This window comes from Homo sapiens, chromosome 3 (assembly GCF_000001405.40).
Source record: "Homo sapiens chromosome 3, GRCh38.p14 Primary Assembly".
Classification (NCBI taxonomy): Eukaryota; Metazoa; Chordata; class Mammalia; order Primates; family Hominidae; genus Homo; species Homo sapiens.
In genome coordinates, this window is record NC_000003.12 from 12584794 (window position 1) to 12610900 (window position 26107).

At 42.4% G+C, this 26107-nt stretch overlaps 1 protein-coding gene across 16 annotated transcripts in view, besides 1 other annotated feature; it reads right to left on the bottom strand.

The window, feature by feature from the left end:
- RAF1 (Raf-1 proto-oncogene, serine/threonine kinase) overlaps positions 1–26107 on the bottom strand; it is an 80517-nt gene that overhangs the window by 1193 nt on the left and 53217 nt on the right. For 7 of the 16 annotated variants that reach the window (NM_001354692.3, NM_002880.4, NM_001354691.3 and 4 more), the window contains 13 exons: positions 24440–24542; positions 23973–24130; positions 21408–21506; positions 19343–19496; positions 15595–15622; positions 15359–15486; positions 14898–15015; positions 6915–6999; positions 6005–6181; positions 2798–2844; positions 888–1006; positions 329–460; positions 54–188 (listed from right to left, as the gene is read on the bottom strand). In NM_001354692.3, coding sequence (NP_001341621.1) covers positions 54–188; positions 329–460; positions 888–1006; positions 2798–2844; positions 6005–6181; positions 6915–6999; positions 14898–15015; positions 15359–15486; positions 15595–15622; positions 19343–19496; positions 21408–21506; positions 23973–24130; positions 24440–24542 — 1483 coding nt within the window. Of the gene's footprint in view, positions 1–53; positions 189–328; positions 461–887; positions 1007–2797; positions 2845–6004; positions 6182–6914; positions 7059–14319; positions 14433–14897; positions 15016–15358; positions 15487–15594; positions 15623–18684; positions 18745–19342; positions 19497–21407; positions 21507–23972; positions 24131–24439; positions 24543–26107 lie in introns of all 16 variants that reach the window. The other 9 variants (NM_001354695.3, NM_001354693.3, XM_047448651.1 and 6 more) reach the window with 5 other exon arrangements.
- Positions 4483–4683: a silencer, noted in NCBI's record as "peak4543 fragment used in MPRA reporter construct". NCBI's record gives its function as "represses an SCP1 promoter by STARR-seq MPRAs in K562 erythroleukemia cells {active_cell/tissue: K562}" and the evidence as "EXISTENCE:reporter gene assay evidence [ECO:0000049][PMID:32103011]".

The following is a 26107-nucleotide window of genomic DNA, read 5'->3' on the forward strand; positions in this document are numbered from 1 at the left end:
TCTTTACGAACCAACCCATGCTTTAATCACATTCTAGCAGCCCTGAGCCTTACCTGGGGAAAAAGAGGCCTCTCTTCCTTTACTTTCTTCACACAGTCAGCTACCAGCCTCTTCATTGCTTTGGGGCAGTTCTTATATAGCTTACTAAGATCTGGGGAGGCATATCCTCGGCCCACCATGAAGATGATCTAAGGGAAAGAAAACAGCTGAGCTAATGGGGGGTGAATGAACAACAGATAATAACAAGTCCTAACCCTCTAGCTGCTTAGGCTGGCGGAGGCCCAGGGGCTCCCACGAGTTGGGTCCTTTCGCACCAGCACAGACTTACCTGATCTCGGTTGTTGATGTGAGAATAAGGAAGCTCCCCCGTCATCAGTTCATACAATACGATGCCATAGGAGTAGACATCCGACTGGAAACTGAATGGGTTGTTATCCTGCATTCGGATCACCTCTGGGGCCTACATGTATCACCATATGACAAAAGTGCATTTATCACCATATGACAGGCCTCACAGACATCTAGGGGCCAGGCTGTCCCTTTCATTAGTTATGAATGAGTCCATTCTTCAGTCCCCACATAGCTTTTCCCCCAAAGGACTCCAACTCAGGCACTGGTTAAAACAGCTCAGGAATCCTTGTCTTTAAAGGACCAAGACCCAGCATTTCTGTCACCCAGCTTATTAACTCCTCTCCACACTAAGCTTCACAGTGGTTCTGATCAACAGCTTCCTCAAGAAAATCTACAATTGCCCTGAGGCTGGCTGTCACTAGGGGTCATGTGGATTTCGGGGAAATGTACAGAAACGCTTTAAGTTTGCACATAAATCTCCAAGGCATTCCTTTTGCCCTATACCAGAGACTGCTGGTGGGAGCCCAGATTCTCACCATCCAGAGGACAGAGCCAGTAGGTTGTTCAACCTGCTGAGAACCACTCCAGCGTGACTTTACTGTTGCCAAACCAAAATCTCCAATTTTCACTGTTAAGCCTTCATGGAGAAATATATCTCAATGCTTGTTAAGGACTCTGGTTTCAAAAGAATGGTCAGGTTAATTTTGAAAAATATCCCAAAGTTCTTTATAACACGGTAATCTCTCCACCTTACCTCTGTCACAGCCTCTCTGCACTGAACTTCCTAAGGTTTCTGAAGTTCTTTAAAGTGCTTTTGAAATGCACCTTCTTCCAGAAGACAGGCAGGGATTGGTCAATGTGCCAGATTATTTGGCCCTAGCCAAAAGCAAGCCAGCGTTTCTTCCCTGCTTCTTCTCCCCATTTGCACATCTAGGTGCTGGGTCTCTGGCCTTGTGACCTTTCCACATAATACAGGTACTTGAAACCCTAACAGGATGAGCAGAGGCCACACTCCAGTGCTCCCCAGAGGGCCAAGGATGGCCTGACAGCTTACAGTCGTTTCTGCCTGTATTCTGCCCTCAAATCACCATCTGAAACTTGAGTGGTTAACAAAATAGCAAATCCCTTACTGAGTGTTCAATGTTGTAGTAAGAAATTCCTCACTAGAATCGGTACCACTCAGTGACTTCAAAATGAGAACTGAAGTCGGCTCGCTTCTGGGTAAAGAAGTCATACAGTTTAAGTCAAACTTGTGAGGAAAAAAAAATTAAAAAAGAACAAAAAATTAAAAAACAAAACACACACAAAGTAACTTGTGATGTTGGTGCCCAGGAATTCACACCTCCTTAAATCTGTGGTGTCTGCTTTCATGGTATAATGTTTGGCTGCTAAAAACCCCACCACTGAAAGGTGTTCCACACCTCAGACATGTACCTAAAATAGGCCATGTCCCATAATCCAACACAACTATCATGCCTCTCACTGCTCAAGAGGCAAAACGTGGGTTGTAATGCCATCTTTCTTTCACAAGGAAAGGCTCGTGGAGGGTGGCAGATTCAAAATTGTTAAATTTCACGCCTCACAGCATTAAAAATACCTTTCTTCATTTACTCTTCTATAAAAACAACCCCTCTCCTCTTCTAATAGTGACTTCTGAAGAACCCACTTATGTACCTTTGAGAAAGACCATTTTATTTATTTATTTTTTTGAGACACAGCCTTGCTCTGTCCCCAAGGCTGGAGTGCAGTGGCGTGATCTCAGCTCACTGCAACCTCTGCCTCCCAGGTTCAAGCAATTCTCGTGCCTCAGCCTCCTGAGTAGCTGGGATTATAGGTACGTGCCACCACACTCAGCTAATTTTTAAATTTAGAGATGGGGTTTCACCACATTGGCCAGGCAAGTCTCAAACTCCTAGCCTCAAGTGATCCACCTGCCTCAGCCTCCCAAAGTGCTGGGATTATAGGTGTGAGCCATCACGCCCAGTCAAGAAAGACTATTTTAATTAGTGATTTTGGAAACCTTTCAACATTTGGCTTGTAGCTACTTGCTATCCACATAACAAGCAGATAGACATACACACGCTGGCCACAAACTAGAAATAAACTTAAGACAAAAGCCCAATCCCCGTCAGGTTACATTTACTAATAGTGTGATAAAATTATGCCTATTTCAAGCTTACGGAAATCTCTCCAAATCACTTTTGCTGAGATAAACTCAGAAAGGAACCTAACCTAAACATCGCTCTCATCAGTCCAGGTGAGGCATAAGCTGCTGAGGGACAGGCCAAGCCTACTAATTTTCTGACTTTTCTGTTTTCCTGTCCTCTGCCTCTTTCCTTAAAAAGATATCCCCTGGCACCGAGAGCCACTTGTGATAGAAAGCCTCCCTTCTGTTTCCCTAAATTTAGAACCGAGCAGTCAAATGAACTCAACAACCAAAGGATACTGTTGGATTTCATGTCTCTATGGATGATGTTCTTTGCATGCAAATAGCTGTGAAGGGAAAAGAAATTATTAAAAATAAGTTTGAGGGGCATGAGTAGAAAGCAGTTTTAAACTACAGCTAAGAAGTAAAGCCACTGAAGGCCTGGCTCCAAGGAGTGTTACACACAGGGATAGACCCTGTGCTGTTCAGCCTGGTTCACATCACTGCTTACCTGAAGGTGAGGCCACAGCACAAACATGCTTACACCTTTTTTTTTTTTTTTTTGGAGACTGGAGTGCAGTCAATAGCTTACTGCAGCCTTAACCTCCTGGGCTCAAGTGATCCTCCCACCTCCCAGTAGCCGGGACCACAGGCATGTGCCACCATGCCGCCTTTTTTTTTTTTTTTTTTTTTTTGGGTAGATACAGGGTCTTGCACTGTTGCCCAAGCTGGTCTTGACTCCTGGGCTCAAGTGATCCTCCCATGTTGGCCTCCAAAATGCTTGGATTACAGGCATGGGCCCCTGGCGCCTGACCATTGCTGACACTTCTTCAAGCATCAGTTTTACTCTAAAGTAATTCTGATAACCCAATGTCCATAAATGATGAATGAATAATGTGGCATATCCATACAATGGAATGTTACTCAGACACAGAAAGGAATGAAGTAGTGACTCATGCTACACATTAACCTTGAAAATACTATGCTAGGTCTAAGAGCCCAGGCACACAATACCATATCTTATGTATTATATACAGCCAAGCATCACTTAACGGCAGGGATACCTTCTGAGAAATGTGTTGTTAGCCAACTTGTCATCATGCACACATCATAAAGTGTATTCACACAAACCAAGAAGGTACAGCCTTCTACACACCCTGGCTAAATGGTATAACGTGTTGCACTTAGGCTACAAAACTGTATGGCCCTCAGTGTACTGAATACTGTAGCTGGTTGTAACATGGTGAGTATTTGTGTCTCTAAACATAGCCAAACATAGAAAAGGCACAGTAAAAATACAGTATTATAATCTTGTGGGACCACCTTCCTATATGTGGTCATTGACCGAAACATCATTATATGTTACCTGACTATATTATATCTTACATGATTCCATTTATATTGAACTATAAAGTAGGCAAAATCCATAGAAACAGAAAGTAGACTGCAAGTGGGTGGGAGGTATTGGGTAACCTCTAATGGGTATATTGTTTGGATATCTGTCCACTCCAAATCTCAAGTTGAAATGTGATCCCCAGTGTTGGAGGTGGGACCTAAGTGGCAGGTGTTTGGGTCATGGGGATGGATTCCTCACAAACGGCTCGGTGGCCTCCCTGCAGTAACGAGTGAGTTCACACACTATTAGCTCACATGAAACCTGGTTATTAAAGAGTCTGGGACCTCCCTCCATGCTCTCTCTCTTGCTCCTTTCTCTCACCACATCACACGTGGCTCCCCTTGCCTTCTGCCATGAGTGAAAGCTTCCTGAGGGCCTCACCAGACACAGATGCTGGTGTCATGCTTTTTGTACAGTCTGCAGAACCCCGAGTCAAATAAACCTCTTTTCTTTATAAATTACCCACCCTTAGGTCTTCCTTTAGAGCAACCCAAACAGACTAATACAATGGGCATGTGTTTCTTTCCGGGATAATGAAAATGTTCTAAAATTAGATAGTGGTGGTGGCTGCACAACTCAATACCAGAAAAACACTGAGGTAGGTGTACATTTTAAAAGGGGGAATTTTATGATGTATGAATTATATCTCAATTTTTCTGAAAAGTCATTCCATTTCTTAAAATACACAGAAGGCAACTTCCATATGAATTTTAAAGACAGTGTGAGAATTTATGTAGGACTTGCAAGCACAGCTATAGCTTAGTAACTCCCAGATGTCTAGGGGTACGAGGAGCTCCTCTACTTCAGAGGAGAAGTTTGAGAAGCACTACCCTAGGCTAGCCAGGAAAGGTGGGAGGATCACTTGAGTCCAGTTTGAGACCAGCCTGGGCAACATAGTGAGACCTCCGACTCTACAAAATACACGAAAATTAGCTGGGCACGGTAGCATGTGCCTGCAGTCCCAGCAACCTATGAGACTGAGCCAAGAGGATAGCTGGAGCCCAGGAGTTCAAGGATGCAGTGAGCTATGATTGCGCCGCTGCACTCTAGCATAGGTGACAGAGTGAGAACCTGTGTCTCTAAGGAAAAAAGTGTGGTTTTTTTGGGTTTTTTTTTTTTTTTCAGATGGAGTCTGGCTCTGTCACCCAGGCTAGAGTGCAATGGCACAATCTCCACTCACTGCAACCTCCGCCTCCCGGGTTGAAGTGATTCTTCTGCCTCAGCCTCCCGAGTAGCTGGGATTACAAGCGCCTGCCACCACAACCAGCTAATTTTTGTATTTTTAGTAGAGATGAGATTTCACCACATTGGCCAGGCTGGTTTCGAACTCCTGGCCTCGTCATCCACCCGCCTCAGCCTCCCAAAGTGCTGGGATTATGGGCATGAGCCACCGTGCCTGGCCAGGAAAAAGTTTTTAATTAAAAAAAAAAAATTATCCCAAAAACAACATCTGCTTAAACCCTCATGTGGGACAGCCATGCCTCAGACAGCTGAGCAGAAGGCATTGCCACAGCTGTCCAAGCAGAAGGTACATGCACCCCACTATATTCTCAGGTTTCTGATAAAGCCAGGGTAGCAGGCAGAGCCCAAAGCTGAGCCCCAAGGGGGAAGTTCAGTCCCAAGGAGGAACCTGAACTTCTCTTTTTTTTTTTTTGAGACAGAGTCTCGCTTCTGCAGCCAAGGTTGGAGTGCAGTAACGTGATCTAAGCTCCCCGCAACCTCTGCTTTCCAATGTTCAAGCGATTCTCCCTGTCCCAGTTCTTGAGTAGCTGGGATTATAGGCATGTGCCACCAGACTTGGTTCATTCTTGTATTTTCAGTAGAAACAGGGTTTTGCCATATTGGCAAGGCTGGTCTCAAAACTACTGGCCTCAAGTGATCCACTGGCCTTGGCCTCCCAAAGTGCTGGGATTACAGGTGTGAGCCACCCCACCCAGCTGGAACCTGAACAACTCATTCCTGATAATTGGCCCCTCCAGCCCAGGCCAGAGGCTTGTGCAAAGATATCACAGAATCGCTTAATGGACTAGAAGGCTTTTCCTGATCCTGGTTCCAATTTAGGGACAAATTTGATGCCTGGGTCCCAGAGAGGCATCAGACCATCTACTCACTCCATTCCCTGAGCCGTCTGCCGGGCAATGTCAATTAGCTGGAACATCTGAAACTTGGTCTCCTGGACATGCAGGTGTTTGTAGAGGCTGCTGCCCTCGCACCACTGGGTCACAATTGCCAGGTTGTCCTTTGTCATGTACCCCATGAAAAGCAGAATGTTCACATGCCGTGTTTTGCTGGGGAGGGGAGGGGAAGAGAGGAGAGGGAGGAGGAAAGTGCTCAGGGAGGTCTACTGTGCTTTCCCGTGGACAGTGGGTTCTGTGCTGTCGACACCACCCCCAGTCCCAACACCACCCCCAGTCCCAAAAACAAACACATGGCACGGCTGATAACCCGGGTGGCATTCTGAGCAAAGAGAAGCCCACCATTAGTTCACTGGGCCATCAGTTCAGTGCCAGCCTTGCTTACAGAGAGGACATTCTCTTTCATCAATGTACACTCCATGACCCTCCTGTGGAGGTCACAAGGACTCCTTGTAGAAGTCTCCATTATATGACTTATTCCTACAAGTCTAAATAGTGACTGAAAGATTGGAAAGCTGACTGTTCTGAAGTCTAAAATAAGGCAACTCAGCTATAAAAAAAAGGGTTCTGGGAAATAAAGGTAAAAATAGGGCCTATTTCTGCCCACCTCAAACCAAAACCCAGAGACAGAAATTGGGCTATTGAGTTTACTGTGCCCAGAGGAGGGTATTCTCCTAAAAAGGGGCTCTTCGAAAGGCTTGACAACCACATAAACTAAAGGAAACATCCCTTTGCTCTCAAGGGAGGAGCATCCAACCACAGAAACTCCACAGTGAGTCCTAACTGCCTGCCCGTCCCAACCTGCGGCACAGTCCACTAACTCTACAGTCCTTGTACTCCCCACTCCAGCACTCCAGAGGGACTGGACCGCCAGCTTTCTACTCACCGCAGAACAGCCACCTCATTCCTGAAGGCCTGGAATTGCTCTGGGGTTGGGTCGACAACCTTTAGGATCTTTACTGCAACATCTCCTGCAAAATTAGTTGGCAGTCAGTGCAATCAGTTGAATGATCTCAGTCTTTCAAATAACCTAGTTTTGAGGAAGATACAGTGAATCATTTATCCAAAGAATCACATACCTACACAGATACGGCAAATTTCCAATTTTTTTTTTTTTTTTGAGACAGGGTCTCACTCTGTTGTCTAGGCTAGAGTGCAGTGGCACATTGCAGCCTTGACCTCCAGGGCTTAAGCAATCCTCCCACCTTGGCCTCCCAAAGTGCTGGGATTATAGGTCCAATCTCTACATAATTCAAATGACTCAAAAAAGTTACATAGGTTAACTGCTATCGCTACAGTTAGGCCTTCGATAGCCTTGGTTAAACTATTCACACCAACCCTGGCAAGCCACAGAGGTGAGGTCATGTGTGACAGGTCAAAACCTTGTCCTGTGGGGATGAAATCAGTGCATACATATGAATGGCCTGGCAAATACAGAATGACTGGGGCTGGTTGCTGGTGTAAGGAAGCAGGCCATTTAGCAACTATTGAGGCTGAACTCTGAATCCACATTTCAGTGAGACCTAAGATGGTCCCTAGTAAAAATTCAGAGATATATATTGAAATTAAGCTTCTCTGCCTTCAATACCATTAAAAAGTAATTCTAATAATACTGAATCCTGGCACTGTGTATACTTTTATCTCTGTTAATCCTCACAGCTGCCCTCTGACGTAAATAATTTATCTTCACAGACAACAAGCTGAGAAGTTTAGTCACTTGCCCAAGGTCATACAGCCAAAAAACAAAGAACGCTGCAGCCAGGATCAAAACCCCAGTCTGACTCCAATTGCTATTCTACCTATAACACTGACAACTGATTGTCAAGCACTGTAAAACCAGCCTCTTGATATAACTTTAGACACATCCAGGGATCCATTCCACTTTAGAGTGCTATAAATTTAAAAGCCACTTTTTTTTTTTTTTTTTTTTTTGAGACAGAGTCTCGCTCAGTCACCCAGGCTGGAGTGCAGTGGTGTGATCTGGGCTCACTGCAAGCTCCACCTCCCAGGTTCACGCCATTCTCCTGCCTCAGCCTCCCGAGTAGCTGGGACTACAGGCACCCGCCACCACGTCTGGCTAATTTTTTGTGTGTGTTTTTAGTAGAGACGGGGTTTCACCATGTTAGCCAGGATGGTCTCGATCTCCTGACCTTGTGAGGCCTCCCACCTCGGCCTCCCAAAGTGCTGGGATTACAGGTATGAGCCACCGTGCCTGGCCAAAAGCCACTTTCAAAAGTGTTTCTGGAGCCTCTCTGTTGGAGCCTTCCTCCTTCCTTTTTTTTTTTTTGAGATGGAGACTCGCTCTGTTACCTAGGCTGGAATGCAGTGGCACAATCTTGGCTCACTGCAACCTCCGCAAGCGATTCTCCTGCCTCAGCCTCCCGAGTAGCTGGGATTACAGGCATGCTCCACCATGCCCAACTAATTTTTGTATTTTTGGGTGGAGATGGGGTTTCACCATGTTGCCCAGGCTGGTCTCAAACTCCTGACCTCAAATGATCTGCCTGCCTCGGCCTCCTGGAGTGCTGGGATTACAAGCGTAAGCCACCCCACCCAGCCCTCCCCATTTCATTTTTGGGAAGAAAATTGGTAGAGAGATGGTCCTCACGATAGGCCCAAACTGTCTCCCTGTGATCTCTGGTTTTATCATCTAAAGTTTCAACGAGTCCCCATGTTTTAACAGCAGCCTCCAAAGTGGCTCTCATCCAGTTAACCTGCACATGTGTTTGCCATGGGCTGCCGGTGAAGGTGCTGTTGACTGGATGGGAGAGATCCACACTATGTTTGGAGCTACCTTCTATCTAGAAAAATGGATCCATATGGGACACCATATGGGAAACGTGTATAACCAGCCCTGAGTAGGAGGACAACAATCATTTGCATAAGTGTCCATTCTGGTACAGTTGGAGCCAAGACAGGAGTGCTGGAACAGAAGGGGAGTTCCCCAAGATGGGGGAGTAAATCCTTTTTTTTTTTTTTTTTTTCTTTTTTAGAGATGGGGCCTCACTATGTTGCCCAGGCTGGCCTCAAACTCCTGGGCTCAAGCAATCTTCCAACCTCAGCCTTCCAAGCAGCTGGGACTACAGGTGCCTAAGTAAATCTCTTTTCAAAGAGAATACAGAAAGGTTTTCTGAAGGAAATGGGCTATAAACCAAGGGAAGGATTTTAGTAAATAGGACAGAGAATGTTTCAGACTGGGCACATCAGAAATAAAGGTGAGGTGAGGGGGATGAGAGAAACCTGAGCTGTGTTTAGTAAACTCTAGGGTAGGATTTGGACACCTGTAGGAGAGAAAGAGGGAGACCAGAGAGGAATCTGCTGCAATAGCTCAGGAAAGGTACAAGAAGAATGGTTGACTGTGGGGACTCAGAAAGAAGGGATGAAGGTAAGAAATCCTGTGAAGGTAAACTGACCCAATGAGGCAGTCAACTGAGTGGAAGTGCTGGGAAAATGGCCAACGCTATGACCCAGGCTCCAGGACCCAGAAAAGGGCAGAGCCTTTAACGGGAGGGGACAGGACAGGGCTAGGGGTTCAGGCATGTGGCTTGGGAGATGCTGGATGATCGCTCAGGGGGAACTGCTTCTAAGGACCTTCCTATTTCATGGACCTCGTTTTGTAGTCCATTCCCTTTCTTATAGCTCTCCTCTGGGCATGCTCTAGTTGTCACTGAACCCACCCTTTGGTGTCACCTGTTCTGGCCCTAATCAGTAATATAACCTCAGAATTCAGAGCCAAGCCCACGCAGTGACTTACTCTGACCTTGCAGTCGGCTGAACTTCCTTGGCAGTTTCCACACACGTTATCATTAAGCCACATCTTCCCCCTCCAGTTCTACTTTTTGGAACAATGAATATGACTTATCTCTGTTAAAAGGTGATCTTTTCTTTTTTCCATCATCCTAGCCAGTTGAACTCTTCTCGCTTTTCTAAATCCTCACTACTATGCAAATACATATCACACCTCTGATTAAGTCACTGATGGGAAGACTGAACAGGGTCAACCAAAGACAGTGCCCATGGTACTTGCAGGGATCCATCTGCCAGCCAGCTCTCGTTAACACAGTTATGGTAACAGATTATTTGCAATTTCTTATGAAATCCAGAAGGAATGTTCTATACTGCAGCATTCCCCTCATTTACATATAAATAACCCAAGGACTGCCATGAAAGGGATTCATTCAGTCTGCTAGGATCAATGAGCAAACATTATAGGAAAACGGATTTCAACTCTAATAAAGAACTATTCCATGCCCTCCCCTCGCCCCACTCTGGCTCTTGCTCTGTCACCGAGGCTGGAGTGCAGCAGCACCATCACGGCTCACTGCAGCCTCAAACTCCTGGGCTCAAGGGATCCTCCCACCTCAGCCTCCCAAGTAACTGGGACTACAATACAGGTGTGCATCACCACGCCCACCTAATTTTTAAAATTTTTTGTAGAGACAAGGGTCTCATGTTGCCCAGGCTGGTCTCAAATTCCTGACTTCAAGTGATTCTCCCACCTCAGCCTCCTAAAGTGTTGGGGTTATAGATGTGGGCCACTGCACCCAATCAAACTATTTTCTACTAGTAGGAACTACCTGGAGTTAGAATGGGCTCTCAGACAGATAATGAGCTCTCTCATCACACTCATTTTCAAACAAAGGCTTGCCAAACCTCCTAAAGGTCTCGTACAACCCCAGATCCCATTTAACCCAAATGATAGTCTTTACAGGACCCTAAAACACCCTACCACTGGACCTCACTCCTATTAGTATACCTCTCACTCACTCTAAATGAAGCCATAAGATCTCCTTGAGTTCTCGGAGCAGGCCAGGTGAGTGGTCCACTTTGCACTTGATGTTACTGCTTCCCTAGATATCTGCACCACCCACCCTCGCCCTCCATGCAAATGCCACTTTCTTGGCAGATTCCTCCCTGACCAACCTATTAAAAACATTGAACTGGGACTGCCACTCCATATCTCCTTTCCTCCATTTTTCTCCTTAGCAATTACAGCATACTATATATTCTACTTTTCCTGTTTACTGTCTCCACTAGAATATAAACTCCTTAAGTTTCTTTTTTTTTTTTTGGACACAGGGTCTTGTTCTGTTGCCCAGGCTGGAGTGCAGTGGTGTTATCACGGCTCACTGCAGCCTCTATCTCCCAGGCTCAAGTGATCCTCCTGCCTCAGTTTCTCGAGTAGCGGGGACAACAGACACACAGCACCATGGTCAGCTAATTGTGTTTTAAGTAGAGACAGGGTCTCACTATGTTGTCCAGGCTGGTCTCGATCTCCTGGGCTAAAGTGATCCTCCCAACTCAGCCTCCCAAAGTGCTAGGGATTACAGGTGTGAACCACCACACCTGGCCTATAGAAAGAATTTTTCTTTCTTTTTTTTTTTTTTTTTTGAGATAGAGTCTCGTTCTGTCGCCCAGGCTGGAGTGCTGTGGTATGATCTTGGCTCACTGCAACCTCGCCTCCTGGGTTCAAGCAATTCTCCTGCCTTAGCCTCCTAAGTAGCTGGGATTACAGGCGCATGCCATCACACCCGGCTAATTTTTTTATTTTTAGTGGAGACAGGGTTTCACCATGTCGGTCAGGCTGGTCTTGAACTCCTGACCTCAAATGATCTCCCTGCCTTGGCCTCCCAAAGTGCTGGGATTACAGGCATGAGCCACCGCACCCAGCCTTGATGCCAAATTTAATGCCCAAAAGGAGGTTGTGAGCTTTGGGCCTGACAGATGCTGCTTTAAATAAATATGTTGAGTTTTAAATCATGCACCTGAGGCTTCTGAGTTGCTTTGAGACCCTTTCTGCTTTACTTCCATAAGTGGGTGGGCTGAGTTAAAAAAATCTTCAATCAAAATCATGAAAACAGTTGTAATTTTTAAGATACTGAACAGATATACTGTATACAGGAACCAGAATATGGCGGAAAAAAGTATTGCACAAAACAATCTAGAAGTTATGTTTCCTGGACCACTCATTTTTCTTCTTCATTCATAGACCAGAGCTTGCTTTCTGAAAGCATGGCATAAAAGTCCACTGCTCCTCACTCCTCTGACTTTTGAGACTTTCTGACTTAAAAAACCTAGAATCTTTTTTTTTTTTTGAGACGGAGTCTCGCTCTGTCACCCAGGCTGAAGTGGAGTGGCACGATCTCGGCTCACTGTAAGCTCTGCCTCCCGGGTTCACGCCATTCTCCTGCCTCAGCCTCCAAAGTAGCTGGGACTACAGGCGCCCACCCCCACGCCCGGCTAATTTGTTGTATTTTTAGTAGAGACGGGGTTTCACCGTGTTAGCCAGGATGGTCTCAATCTACTGACCTCGTGATCCACCCACCTCGGCCTCCCAAAGTGCTGGGATTACAGGCGTGAGCCACCGCACCTGGCCTAAAAAACCTAGAATCTTAAAAACAAGTTATCTCCATTCTAATAGCAGTCTTTATGGAAGTAACACTGTAACAAATAATCTTTATCACAGTTTGAAAGCTCACTCTATTGAGAGAAGACAAAGCTCAGAAGCAGTACCACGTACCAATGCCTTGAAAAATTATGAATCCCCAAATGAAAGTGCGCAACCAGAGGAAAATTAAACTTGGGTACAACTTAAAACTTCATCCGCTGGCTTTTAGCTGGGGCTTTTAAAATGTGATATAAAAATGTTCTAATGCTAACAGAAGCAATAAATGCAATATCCATTGCTCTGCCTCCTACAACTACTAGCAGCCTTGTTATCTCAGACACAAGTGCTCTATCCCACAAAGTGCTTGTGTTCTTTCCTAAGGAATCCTGGAGATATTTATGCCATCTAAAATATTCTGCAACTGGCTGAGCACAGTGGCTCACACCTGCAATCCCAGTACTTTGGGAGGCCGAGGCAGGCGGATCGCTTGAGCTCATGATTTCGAGACCAGTCTAGGAAACATGGCGAAACCCCATCTCTACAAAAAATACAAAAATTAGCCGGGTGTGGTGGCATGTGCCTGTAGTCCTAGCTACTTGGGAGGCTGAGGCAGGAGGATGGCTAGCTTGAGCCCAGGAGGCAGAGACTGCAGTAAGCCAAGATTGTGCCACTACTCCAGCCTGGGCAACAGAGCCAGATCTTGTCTCTAAATACATATAAATAAATATTCTACAACAGTATCATTTCTCTGGGACCCAGGAGACAGCCCAGTAGTACATACTAGATGCAATTTTCTTTTCCTTTTTTTTTTTTTTTCTGAGACAGGGTCTTGCCCTTTCACCCAGGCTGGAGTACAGTAGTGTGTACTCACTGTATTGAGCTCACTACAACATTCGCCTCCTGAGCTCAAGCAATCTTCCTGCCTCAGCCTTCCAAGTAGCTGGGACTACAGGCGAGTGCCATCACATCTACCTAATTTTTGGTAGAGATGGGGTTTCACGATGTTGCCCAAGCTGTTCTTGAACTCCTAGGCTCAAGTGTTCTGCCTGCCTCAGCCTCCCAAAGTGCTGGGATGACAGGCGTGAGCCACCCTGCCCAGCCAGATGCAATTTTCAAAGGAAAAGGAATCATTCCACATGTACTTTACAAATGTTCAGTCGGGTGCCAATCCTCTTAAGGAACTAGAAATTGGTCAGATGATTAATTACAAGTGGTAAAAACCATGCATTAACGAGCACATGGTAAGGCTGGGCACAGTGGCTCATGCCTGTAATCCCAGCATTTTGAGAGACCCAAGAGGACTGCTTGAGTCCAGGAGTTGGAGACCAGCCTGGGCAACATAGTGAGACCTTGTCTCTACAAAAGGTAAAACAAATTAGCTGGGCATTCACCTGTGGTCCCAGCTACTTGGGAGGCTTAGGCAGGAGGACTGTTTGAGCCCAAGAGTTGGAGGCTGCAGTGAGCTGTGATTGTGCCACTGTACTCCAGCCTGGGCAACAGAGCAAGAATCTATCTCAAAAAAAAAAAAAAAAAAAAAAAAAAAACCACCAAGTACTCAAAACTGGAGGTGTTTGATATTTTCAGTACCTTGAATTTTAATACTCCATTCATTTGATGCTTTTAACTTCTCTCAATCTTTGCACATTTATCTCTAAAGATAATTCCAGTGTCATCCAAAGTAGTATAGGCACCAAGGGACTCTGTGATTTTTGCTTTATTGTAATCTGAATTTAGAAGAGATGACTTTTTGGGAACATGCAGCATTTTCAAGGAAATACCTATTATTTCCCAAAGTCCTAAAGCCAGAGGCATTAAAAACCTAACAGAGAAATGCTAAGTATGTTGCCAAAATGTTCAGTGTTGCCAAAATACACAAGCTGTAACTACATAAGTTAAATAGTACCTTTCTTCCAAGTGACAAAGTGTTTCCATTAAAATCAGAACATTAATATTCCACATAGATTCAAGAATTAAGTCAATGCCTTCCCTGTTTGATAGGGACACCCACAGCTAATCCTAGGGCAGGACAAAGAGAAGTTACTTCAGGAGATTTCCAGCTTTCCTATGCCTAACTGCATGACCATGGGCAAATCAGTCCCCATTTCAATCTCTAAGGTCCTTTCCAGCTTAAAGTTTCTAGAACCCATGCTCCCTCCATAGCAGCAGACTCTTGCTCACTTAAGGAGCTTCCAAGCATGACCCATGTGCAGACTGTATTTAATCAGTTTAAAGGAGAAGTACTCCTGACATTTGATTATAGGGCTCAAGTCTTATTCACTAATTTCTAATTATCCTGGGAGCTTTATAAGAACTTAGTCTAAAAAGAATTAAGTTCAATCTTCAGGTATAATCAAGTATGTAAGGGAGAGTACTGCTATAAGCCCAGGAGCACTCAGTCCTCTCCTCCTCCTGGCCCCCTGGGCTGAAACTTGACTTCACACCAAAGCCCTGCAGTTAGTAAAGGGAGGGCCCCAAGCTTACCGTGCCATTTACCCTTATAAACAGTTCCAAAAGAGCCTGACCCAATCCGAGTGGACAGCATCACTTCACTGGCTTCTATTTCCCAATAATAGCTTGAATCTCTCTGTCCACGAGGCCTCTGAAACAAGTAGAGATCATTATTATACTCCATGCAATGGTAATAATCTTTTGATAATGAGGGCATCAAAGGATCAACCCATGTCATCTGTTTCCATATCTTTTAAAGATAAACATATTAACCATACTTCCAATTTTTGTCTTTTGAGAAATACCATTTTAGTTATAGCACTGGCAAACTGTCTGATGCAAGTGTGCCAAAAATGACAGTAACATTTATAATCTCCTTCATTGAATGTATTTTATTAGAATCTTCTCCCAAAATAAGTTTAAGTATTCTAATTTCCAACGAGGTTTTTCTTACTGAACCCTAATTGGCAGGAGGTACTGTTGTCTATACTCACAATTTTGTTTTTCTCCTGGGTCCCAGATACTGGTGCCCGCTCTCTTTGTGCTGGCACGGGGGTTTTCGGCTGTGACCAGCCTGTTGGGCTCAGATTGTTGGGGCTACTGGACAGGGCTGAAGGTGAGGCTTAATAGACAAGACAAACAGAAGCCACACAAGGATAAGCCAACAGAAGATACACCGCATAAAGAAAAAAAGCCCATTATTGTTGGCTAAATGACTATGGAAAAGTACCTGATTCGCTGTGACTTCGAATTGCATCCTGAAACAGAAAAGGAAAGCTGGTCAACTCCTACACACAAAAGATTTTCTCTGGGGGAGGGAAAAAAGAGGAGGAGGATGTGCAAGAACAAAATAGATTATAAAAACCTCTAAAAACCATAGAAATCCTAAACATACTCTAATCAACGTTCCTTGATTAAATTCAGCAAATATCAGTGGCCAGTATCTCCAAGGCTGATTTTTCATTAAATATTAGAAGGATTTAATATTCCACCTCCCAGGTTCAAGCAATTCTCCTGCCTCAGTCTCCCGAGTAGCTGGGATTACAGGTGTGCACCAGCACGCCCGGCTAATTTTTGCATTTTTAGTAGAGACAGGGCTTCGCCATGTTGGCCAGGCTCGTCTTGAACTCCTGACCTGAGGTGATCCTCTCGCCTCGGCCTCCCAAAGTGCTGGGATTACAGGCGTGAGCCACCGTGCCAAGCCTGGTATTAGTTTTTCATATATAATGAAAACCACATTCTTTTTCTCAAAAGAAAGCAATGTACACAACAAACATACTCTTTCAAGGGAAGCTAGCAAAGTTACTCTCAGCTGAGACCCTTCCAAAGATTGGGATTCTTGTTCCACTGAGGCTCAAAACTTTTTTTAAAAAGCCAGGGTGGGGAGGTGGATTCTGGGGGAAGCTCACTCTTACTCCACAAGGAGTTAGGCTAAATTGACTAGAAGTTGGATTTGAAAAAGGTAAGCAGCCTATATACTTTATCCAAGCCTAAAATCACAGAAAGCTGGAAAGACCACAAATCCAAGTTCAAAACCTACATTTTACATATAAGAAAACACATCTGAACAGGTAGAGAGACTTGGCAGGGTCACTTGGCAGAACCAGTAGGTGGCAGAAATAGAACCAGAAACCATCATATATGGATCTCAGCCCTCAGCTCTTTCACCACAAAACACTGCCTTATGGGTAAATTTGGAAATCGGTTACATTCTCCTCATGGGAGAAAGCAAAGGCTATCTTTAGAATTTATTAGAAACTGTTTGGAAAATAGTTTAAATTGCAGAGGGCTCTATGAGACCTAAACCCCAATCTAAAATTCATCGCTTGGAATAGAACAGTATAATAGAATAATATAAAACCACTTGGCCCCCATATCCTAAAAAAGGACATTTTTTGGGGGGAAGTCCTACTATATTCTCTTTGTGTAACTACAGTATAGACAAGATACTTGTTCCACACAACTATTACTAGAATGCTCCCACTCAATTATATAAAAAGATAAAATTATATATCTAATTATATAATTAGATAAAAAGAATCAAACCAAGCTGTTCCCCTGCTCCCAAAACATAATTCGGAATTTAACAAGAAAGCCTAGTTCTGGTTCCCAAAACTAGCTAGTCTTCAGAATTACCTGGAGAGTGATTCTGACTCTGGAAAGAAGAATGAAGATCCACCCCTAATCCCCGACCCACGATTGACTGAGCATGTTTTGGAGGGGAATGTGAGAAGTCCAGGAATGTGTGTTTTTAAGTACAGCAGGATAACTGCCAGGTGGGCAAAACACTGGCAAAAAATAATGTGGATTTCAATAGAAATCGGCAGCTGTAATTTCATTATCCAACTAAGCTGTTCTTTGTTTTTAAAGCAAAGCACAATTTATTTTTATTAACCACAATTATATTCCTATGTAGCAGAATATTTTCCTTAATGTTATGGTAATTTTCTTCCCTGTATCAATTAAATATCCCATATTTTATTCTGTGCTAATTTCTATAGTTGGATCAATTTATTCTAGAAAGAATTTTCCTATTGTTCCTGGAGTCTAAATACTCAAGAGAACTATGAATAATTTGAGACCCACAAATAATTTGAATAAAGCAACAATTAGTCTACTTTAAAAATGCTGACTTATATGTGATTAAATTAACAGGAATCAAAATTTACCCTGCTTCTAAAGTAAAAAATGATTAGGCACAACAATTGTGCTAATTCTTTTATAATAAAAACTCAAAAATTCTTACTTGACACAATCATACACAGCTCACTACAACCTCAAACTCCTGGGCTCAAGTAATCCTCCTGCCCAAGCCTCCTGAGTAACTAGGACTGCAGGTGCACACCACCAAGCCCAGCTAATTTTTACATTTTTTTTTGTAGAGGTGGGGTTTTGCTACATATAGCCCAGGTAGGTCTTGAACTCCTGGTCGCAAGTGATCTTCCCACCCAGCCAATTCTGACCTTTACTGTTCCCTGTAAGTATTACAGTGTTCATACAGGAACAAACCATTTAATAGAAGTAGCAGTAACTGGTATATTATTGTATTATCAGGACTAATCATAATGATAAAGTCAAAATAATAAAATTTATAGCTTATACATGATCTCCTCACAATAGTGGCAGGACAATTATGTTGAAAGTGATTTGAGGTCTGAATGAGATAAACTGTGCCTAAGGCAGCAGGTGTCTACATGATGAGAGAGAGCATAGTTGTCTCTGATAAGCTTTCAATAAAGAATATTTATTCTAGGGTTTATCAACCAAAAACACATTTGGTTACTAATGTATAAACAGAATACCAATGCTGTGAGCACCAACTAAGTAAGTCTAACATTAGCCTTTGGTTGGAATTGATTTAAAAAAAAAACTTTTTAATGCCCTTGGCCTCAAAATCTAACTTAACATTTTTTGTTTGTTTTTAAGGTGGATTCTTATTATGTTGCCCCAGTTGGAGTGCAATGGCTATTCACAGGCACAATTGTAGCTCCCTACAGCCTAGAACTTCTGGGCTCCAGTGATCCTCCTGCCTTAGCCTCTGGAGTAGCTGGGACAACAGACATACACCGTCATGCCTGGCCTAACTTCAGAAATTCATTTCACCTATCATCAATACCACATACAACATTTTTTTTACTTCTATATACTCTACTGCCAAAAAAAATTTTAAAAAGAAAGAAAGAAAAAGAAAACATGGAAACAAGTGACAAGAAATATAAATTTAACTTAGCAACTATTTCATTTTTGGTAGTCTGCTGTCTGACAGTTTTAGCAATCCTGTTAATTACAAGAAAGCAAAGGCATGAAGAAAAATACCTACTCTTCCCCTCAAACAAAATCGTCTGGACCACGCCCTGGGAGAAGCACTCAGGTTGTTATTCTAGTCCAAAGCAATGAGAAATAAAGAAGAATAAAGAACAAAGGAAGTATTTAAGTGTATTCAGTTGTTATTAAAGATGAAGCAGAAAGCAAATTAAACCAATAGGACATAACCAAAAAGCCAAGAGAAGAAAAAGCAGTTCAAAAACACTAGCTTTGGGCACTTTGACATCTCCCCAAACACCTGCTTATTAAAGTCCTAGGACTCCACCCTTTTATTTCTAAATAAAATCACAAAAGTCTTCCAGAGAATCTGTAGTTCTCCATCACTGTTAATTTCTGTCCCACACCAAAACTAAACTGCTCTTTAAATATCTTAGACACTTGTTCATTAATAGCCTATTCAAATCTGATAATGGGAAGAGTTCAAATGTTAACATTTTTTCAGGAAGTTTTAGTTCTCCAGTTGAATGATATACTAACCAGACTATTCAGCCAGTCTGAAGATATTATGGATATAAAATAAACTGTAAAAGTCCAGAGACCTGAGAAAGTGTTGCAACATTCCTTGATCAGATTTGAAACCCAAAACTCTGAAATAAGTATCAACCTCACCCCATTAATTGACTGACATTACCACCCCCAAGGTGCCCTATTACCTCAATCATCCTGCTGTCCACAGGCAGGGTGGTGCTGACCATGTGGACATTAGGTGTGGATGTCGACCTCTGCCTCTGGGAGAGGGAACCTTCAGATGAGGGACTGGAGGTGTTAAAGGTGAAGGCGTGAGGTGTAGAATATCTGTGCTGAGAACTAGGAGGAGAAAGAAAATTCCATGATTGGCACTTAGGCTTTCATACTGGTGAAGTCTTTCAAGTACATATTTGACTAAGTAAGATGCTTAAGGGCAAACTCTACCTGTACAACCTTTGACAAAATGTTTGATTCTTTCAAATGTGTGACATCTAAAAATTATCTTAAGTCTAGGTGCTTTTGCATACAAAATTTGGAACAGGAAATAATATATGTATTGGGAATTCAATGAAAAGGAGAGTGCATTATAAGTTTTCTTTTTTTAAATAAAGCACCACTCTACTCCAAATTTTTACAACATCTCCAGGAAAGAACAGATTAACATTTGACAACCACGCTACCACCTATTAAGCTAGTTGGAACACGCCCAGTTTAGAGACTAAATTTGAGAATTTATTTAAACAGATAAGTAGACGTGCTGAGCATGTCTGTAAAAAGGCCAGGATTTTACCCTCTGTTTGTCCTTACCTGCTACAACCAGCAAACAAAGTAAATAAATGGGAATTCAGTTTTTAGATGGAAATACCTAAATGTGAAATTAACCACTGGCCTCTTCCAGTCACCACCAACCCCCACCAACCAAACTGGGAACATGCATTAAGAGGTATAACATTTTCATTATTTGCTCTAAAGATTCGTTCGAGGTTTGTTCAGATTCAGGTAACACCCATGTATGAATTAAAGGGAAAAAGGCCAGCTTTTCTAAGGGAAATTGTTCTATTGTCTTGAAAAAAATGCCTTCCCACATAATCCTCTGTTTTATGGCTTCAGAGGCCTGGTTTCTTCTAATCTTCAGAGGTAACTACAAATTCTTGGTCAGATTTGCTTTTCAAATTATCAAGAAAAATAAAAGCCATACAGAAATATATATCCAGATATATGCAAATTCCTTATTCTAAGATATGCTGCGTTTAATATTTCCATAGTATTTTCACATTAAACATTATCTGATTACACATTATGTGTGTGTGTGTGTGTGTGTGTGTGTGTGTGTATACATAATATATTTTTTTTTGGAGACAGAGTCTTGCTCTGTCACCAAGGCTGGAGTGCAGTGGTGCCATCTCAGCTCACTGCCTACCACGTTCAAGATTCTCCTGCTTCAGCCTCCCAAGTACCTGGGCCAAAAGGCACATATCACCACACCCACCCAGTTTTTTGTATTTTTAGTAGAGATGGGGTTTCACCATGTTGGCCAGGCTAGTCTGGAACTCCTGACCTCAAGTGGTCCATCTGCCTCGGCCTCCCAAAGTGCTGGGATTACAGGTGTGAGCTACCGTGCCTGGCCTAAAGTAAGATATTTTGGATGTAGATTTTACTTTAGGTTTCAAATTCATGTGTGTTAACACTGAGCAGTAGATAAACGCAACAAAACTGATTATAAAGCTGGAAAACAGAGTAAAGAAAGACAAGTTATATGCAAACTCAGAGACACATGAGAAACAATATTTATGCTGAAAATCTAATTAAATGTTTTTAAAGACACTAGTCTATTTAAATACATGGTTTTAGCAAATGCATCGGCCACAACATGCATTTCAAAGTTAAGGGTTTTATTTTTATCAAATCACTGTATTAAGTTTTAGGACCCTTTCCATTGAGGTTGAACTCAGTACATACTGAGGAAAGCAGAATCTCAAGCTCTTTAAAATGTAATGACATATTAAGAAATATGCTATGATAACAGAAGAAGCTACAGTCAAAGTCACTTTCCAGAATGTAAGACCTACAGGTCCATAAACAGAAATTTCTACCTTTTCTGTACCACCAGTATCAAGTTCCACAGAAGCAGCAAGGGGTTTCCACGTAGAGAGGAGGGAATGCGAAGAAACTCTTATTTTTTGTCTTCAAGCTTCCAACCCCACCACCCCAAATAACTTTCTAAAAGAAAAGCTATAGGTAAAAAATTACCTAACAGGCATCCTGGAAACAGACTCTCGCATACGACGCATAGTCAAAGAAGGTAGTGCTGGGACTCCACTATCACCAATAGTGGAATTTGGAAACAATCTAAACAAAAGCAGGGAAAGACTGGTTTTTAGGCTTGCAGTAATCTTACAGAGACAATCAGCATGCCTTGCTTTTGCAAACTCAGAGCTACTAAAACTGAACTTTTCCCAGTCACATTTTCCTCAACTGTTTTACATTACCTAGAATAAAGGGAACAATATTCCAAATAACTGGATTTGAATGATTATTGAATGTGAATAATACTGACCTGCCAATAAACATACAGGCTCCTGTGTGCTTTTTCTTTTTCTTTTTTTTTAAGATGGAGTCTCACTCTGTTGCCCAGGCTGGAGTGCAGAGGTGTAATGGCGGCTCACTGCAACCTCCACCTCCCGGGTTCTCCTGCCTCAGCCTCCCAAGTAGCTGGGATTACAGGCACACACCACCATGCCCAGCTAATTTTCGTATTTTTTTTTTAATTATACTTTAAGTTTTAGGGTACATGTGCACAACATGCAGGTTTGTTACATAGGTATACATGTGCCATGTTGGTGTGCTGCACCCAGTAACTTGTCATTTAACATTAGGTGTCTCTCCTAATGCTATCCCTTCCCCCAATTTTTGTATTTTTAGCAGAGACGGGGTTTCACTATGTTGGCCAGGCTGGTCTCGAACTCCTGACCTCAGGTGATTCACCTGCCTTGGCCTCCCAAAGTGCTGGGATTACAGGCGTGAGCCACCGCGCCCGGCCCAGTGTGCATTTCTAGGAAATACTGGTCCTGTGTCTAGCTATATCAAAATAATATTTTTCAAACTACAGTATAACATTTCACAAACTATGTCACACACAGCTTCTCTGGAAACATTCCATCTTGAAAATGCATAGATAAAAGACTAAAATAGAAGGAATAAATCACAGAAAAGTGAGTAATTAGGCACCTTTTTTCCATGAGGTGGGCACTTGTGCTTAGTAATTTCACAGGTTATGTCAGCAAGCCTCATAAGAACAATGCAAGGAAGGTAATATCCCCTTTATTCAGATGCATGAACGAAAACTCAGATGTGGTTATGGTTAATGACAACACTGAGATTTTGACATATGTCTGTTAGACTCAAAAGCTTGTGCCGCCGGATGCGGTGGCTCACACCTGTAACCACAACACTTTGGAAGGCCAAGGCGGACAGATTGCTTGAGCTCAGGAGTTCGAGACCAGCCTGGGCAACATGCTGAAACCCCGTCTCTAGAAAAAATACAAAAATTAGCTAGGCATGATGGCATACACTTGTAGTCCCAGCTACTCAGGAGGCTGAGGTAGGAGGATTACTTGAACCCGAGAGGTCGAGGCTACAGTGAGCTGTGATCATGCCACTGCACTCCACTGTGGGAGACAGAGCGAGACCCTGTCTTTAAAAAATAATAATAAAAAAAAAGGCTGGGCGTGGTGGCTCATGCCTGTAATCCCAGCACTTTGGGAGGCCGAGGTGGGCAGATCATGAGGTCAAGAGATCGAGACCATCCTGGCCAAGATGGTGAAACCTCATCTCTACTAAAACTACAAAAATTAGCTGGGCGTGGTGGTGTGTGCCTGTAGTCTGAGCTACTCGGGAGGCTGAGGCAGGAGAATCACTTGAACCTGGGAGGCAGAGGTTGCAGTGAGCCGAGATCATGCCACTGTACTCCAGCCTAATGACAGAAAGAGACTTGTCTCCAAAAAAAAAAAAAAAAAAAAAAAAGGGTGGGGGACAAAAATAAGATAAATTTTAAAAGCTTGTGCCATTTGTGCTACTCAAGCTCTCATCACAAAATCAATACGTAAGTGACCATGAAAGCAAAAACATTTTCATCATGGTCTAATAATAACACTCCCTTGGTTTCTCTAGTACTGTCAAAAAAGGACAAAACTTTTAAACTTTTCATATACCTAGTTACAGTTTTTAAAAGGCAGTTTGGACCATGTACTTTTAATGTAAACTTTAAATTCTTTAATAACATTTTATCTATATGAAATATATTGTCTCCTGAAAGAAACAAGAATCTTTCAAGATTTTATATTCAAACAATTTTAAGTCCAAACAACTAAGTTTTCTCCAGTTTGAAGTGAAGAAAATAGCATCAACGGTGCTTTCTGCTCCTTCTCAATGTCAAAGGCTCATTCAGCATATTCAACAAAATACAGAGCAGTGTCTACTAGCAACCCCAGTAGATAATACTATTAAGAGCGAAAAGCAAAAAATCTTCTTGTTTTCATATCCTTTTGCTCCTTTCCTTACTGAATCACAGTCACAGTATGTCAATCTCAATTTGACAGATAACAAGTCCTACTCCTACCTGCTCATTCTGGAGTATGAATGCCACCAAACCTAGCTAGTTTCAGAATTATCACTGTTTCTAAAGTAGTTTCTGGATCACAATTCATTAAATGAGTCTAGAATCCAGACCTGTCAGTCAAAATCTACAACAAATACCCTTTAAAGTATGTATACTCCTCATCCCTATCTTCCTTGGATAAAAGAACAATGCCTTACAAGAGTTGTCTGATGTTACTCCAGTCCACACACATAGTAGGTACTTTGGTGCTACAGTGCTCATGAAATTTGTAGCCACAAGTCTGACATCGAAATCCATTGAGCAGGAATTTCTGACAGATGTCACAGAAGGCAAGCTTCAGGAACGTCTTCCGAGCCTACAACAAGAACACAGGTGTAAATTATGCTGAATAAATAAAAGATGACAAAAGACAACTTCATTTCTTGGCCTCCAAAAAAGTTTTTACAAAATGAATCATACTTCCAGCATGTACAGAATTCATAATCACAAATTAGAGTATATCTCTGACTAATGAAATCTAAATTGCCTTACTGTAAACAACAGCATAAAGAACTTTAAACAATCCAACTATATATATATATACATACGCATATTACCTGAGAAATCTCTGTTATGCCTGGCAAAGCCCTCAACATGCCAGAAAGAGAAGAGATCTGCAACTTACAAAGTTGTGTGTTGTGAGGGGAACATGATCCAGGAAATCTACTTGAAGTTCTTCTCCAATCAAAGACGCAGCATCAGTATTCCAATCTAAGCGTGCTTTTTTACTAGAAAGGATTTAAAAAAAACATGAAATGTTTAAACAAGATCAAAGTTCAATAGAAATAACAACAGCTACCATTTATCACATGCCATATAAACACAACTTTATTTAATCCATACAACAATAATTTATTTAATTCATACAACAAACCTATGAAGTAGGTATTATTTCTATCTGAAAAATAAGAAAACTGGGACTCTAAGAAGGTAATTTGCTCAAGGCCACACAGCAAGTTTAAGGGCCTATGTTGGAATCTAGGTCTGTTGAACTCCAAAGCCCATGTTCTCAGAATAAAGTTTTCTCTTTATTTACTTAAAAAAATGTTTTTTGGTAGAGAGAGAGTCTTGCTGTGTTGCCCAGGCTGGTCTTGAATCCCTGGCCTCAAGCGGTCCTCCTGCCTCAGCCTCCCAAAGTGCTGGGATTACAGGTGTGAACCACCATGTCTGGCCAGAATAAAGTTTTCTTTAAACAATGATATATAAAATCTCACAATAAAGTCAATATACGTTAAATTGGAATTTGTAACACTAAAATCTTACAAAAATCCCCAAATCCTGTAAAATGGATTATAAATATTGCTGCAGTACAAAATTTAGTCTTCAGTAGCCTATTTCAATCTAGATAAATAGAAAGGAACCACAAATGAAAAATGTACTTTTCTATTAATTAATAACAGACTCAAATCTGTAGTTGTAGGGTCTATAAGTCAATGAGAAACTTAACTGTCTTAAAATCTACTCTGAAACCACACTTTCTGTGCCTACAGTATAAATAAGACAAAAAATAGATACATAAGTAAAAAGTAATGCCCAATTCCTTTCTTATGTTTTATCCAGTTAATCTGGCCCATTTTCCAAAGGAAGAATATTCTCAGGTAAAGAGAAAATAACATGTATAGCACCATTCAAGCCTCTCCATTATCTACCAGAAGCCTAGTCAAGCCATTTTTCTCACTATCCAACAGTAAACAATACATTCCTTAATATAATTACCTATACAGCACCTGGAAAACTTCCTATAACTCCAAAGGACTATTTTGCCCTTATGAAGAGAAGGAGGACAAGCCTTATTTTCTCATCAATCTGCAGACTGATCCTAGTGACAATCTGCTGTCTGTCCTAGAGACTCCAGAGTAGCTCCAAACCAGTGCAGCCTTGGATGAGAGTAGACCAAGCCCTCCCTGTCTCAGAATCTCTCTAGTCCTTAAGGAACACTATGGATTGGCTTAGGGACCCAACCTGGGCTACCTTCAGCAAAAGTTAACGTCTGCTTCAAAGATTTGCACTTCAACAAACGCCTCCTAAATTGAGAATTACACTCACCCCTTCGAGTAGATTCATTCCCTGGGCTATTCTCCCAAACTGCAGAACTCTTTGAAACATGAAAAAATGTAAGCTAACGATGAATAACATAAGTGACGCTTTCCAAGAAGAGGGTAAAAAAGAACCCTTTAAAGGTTTCCCTATATTTTCGGGGTGGAGGGAATAATGGATAATGGATAATTATGGACAGCTCTGCTGCTTTGAGGTATTACTCCTAGCCTTTGAGGGGATGCCTCTATCTTGCCAC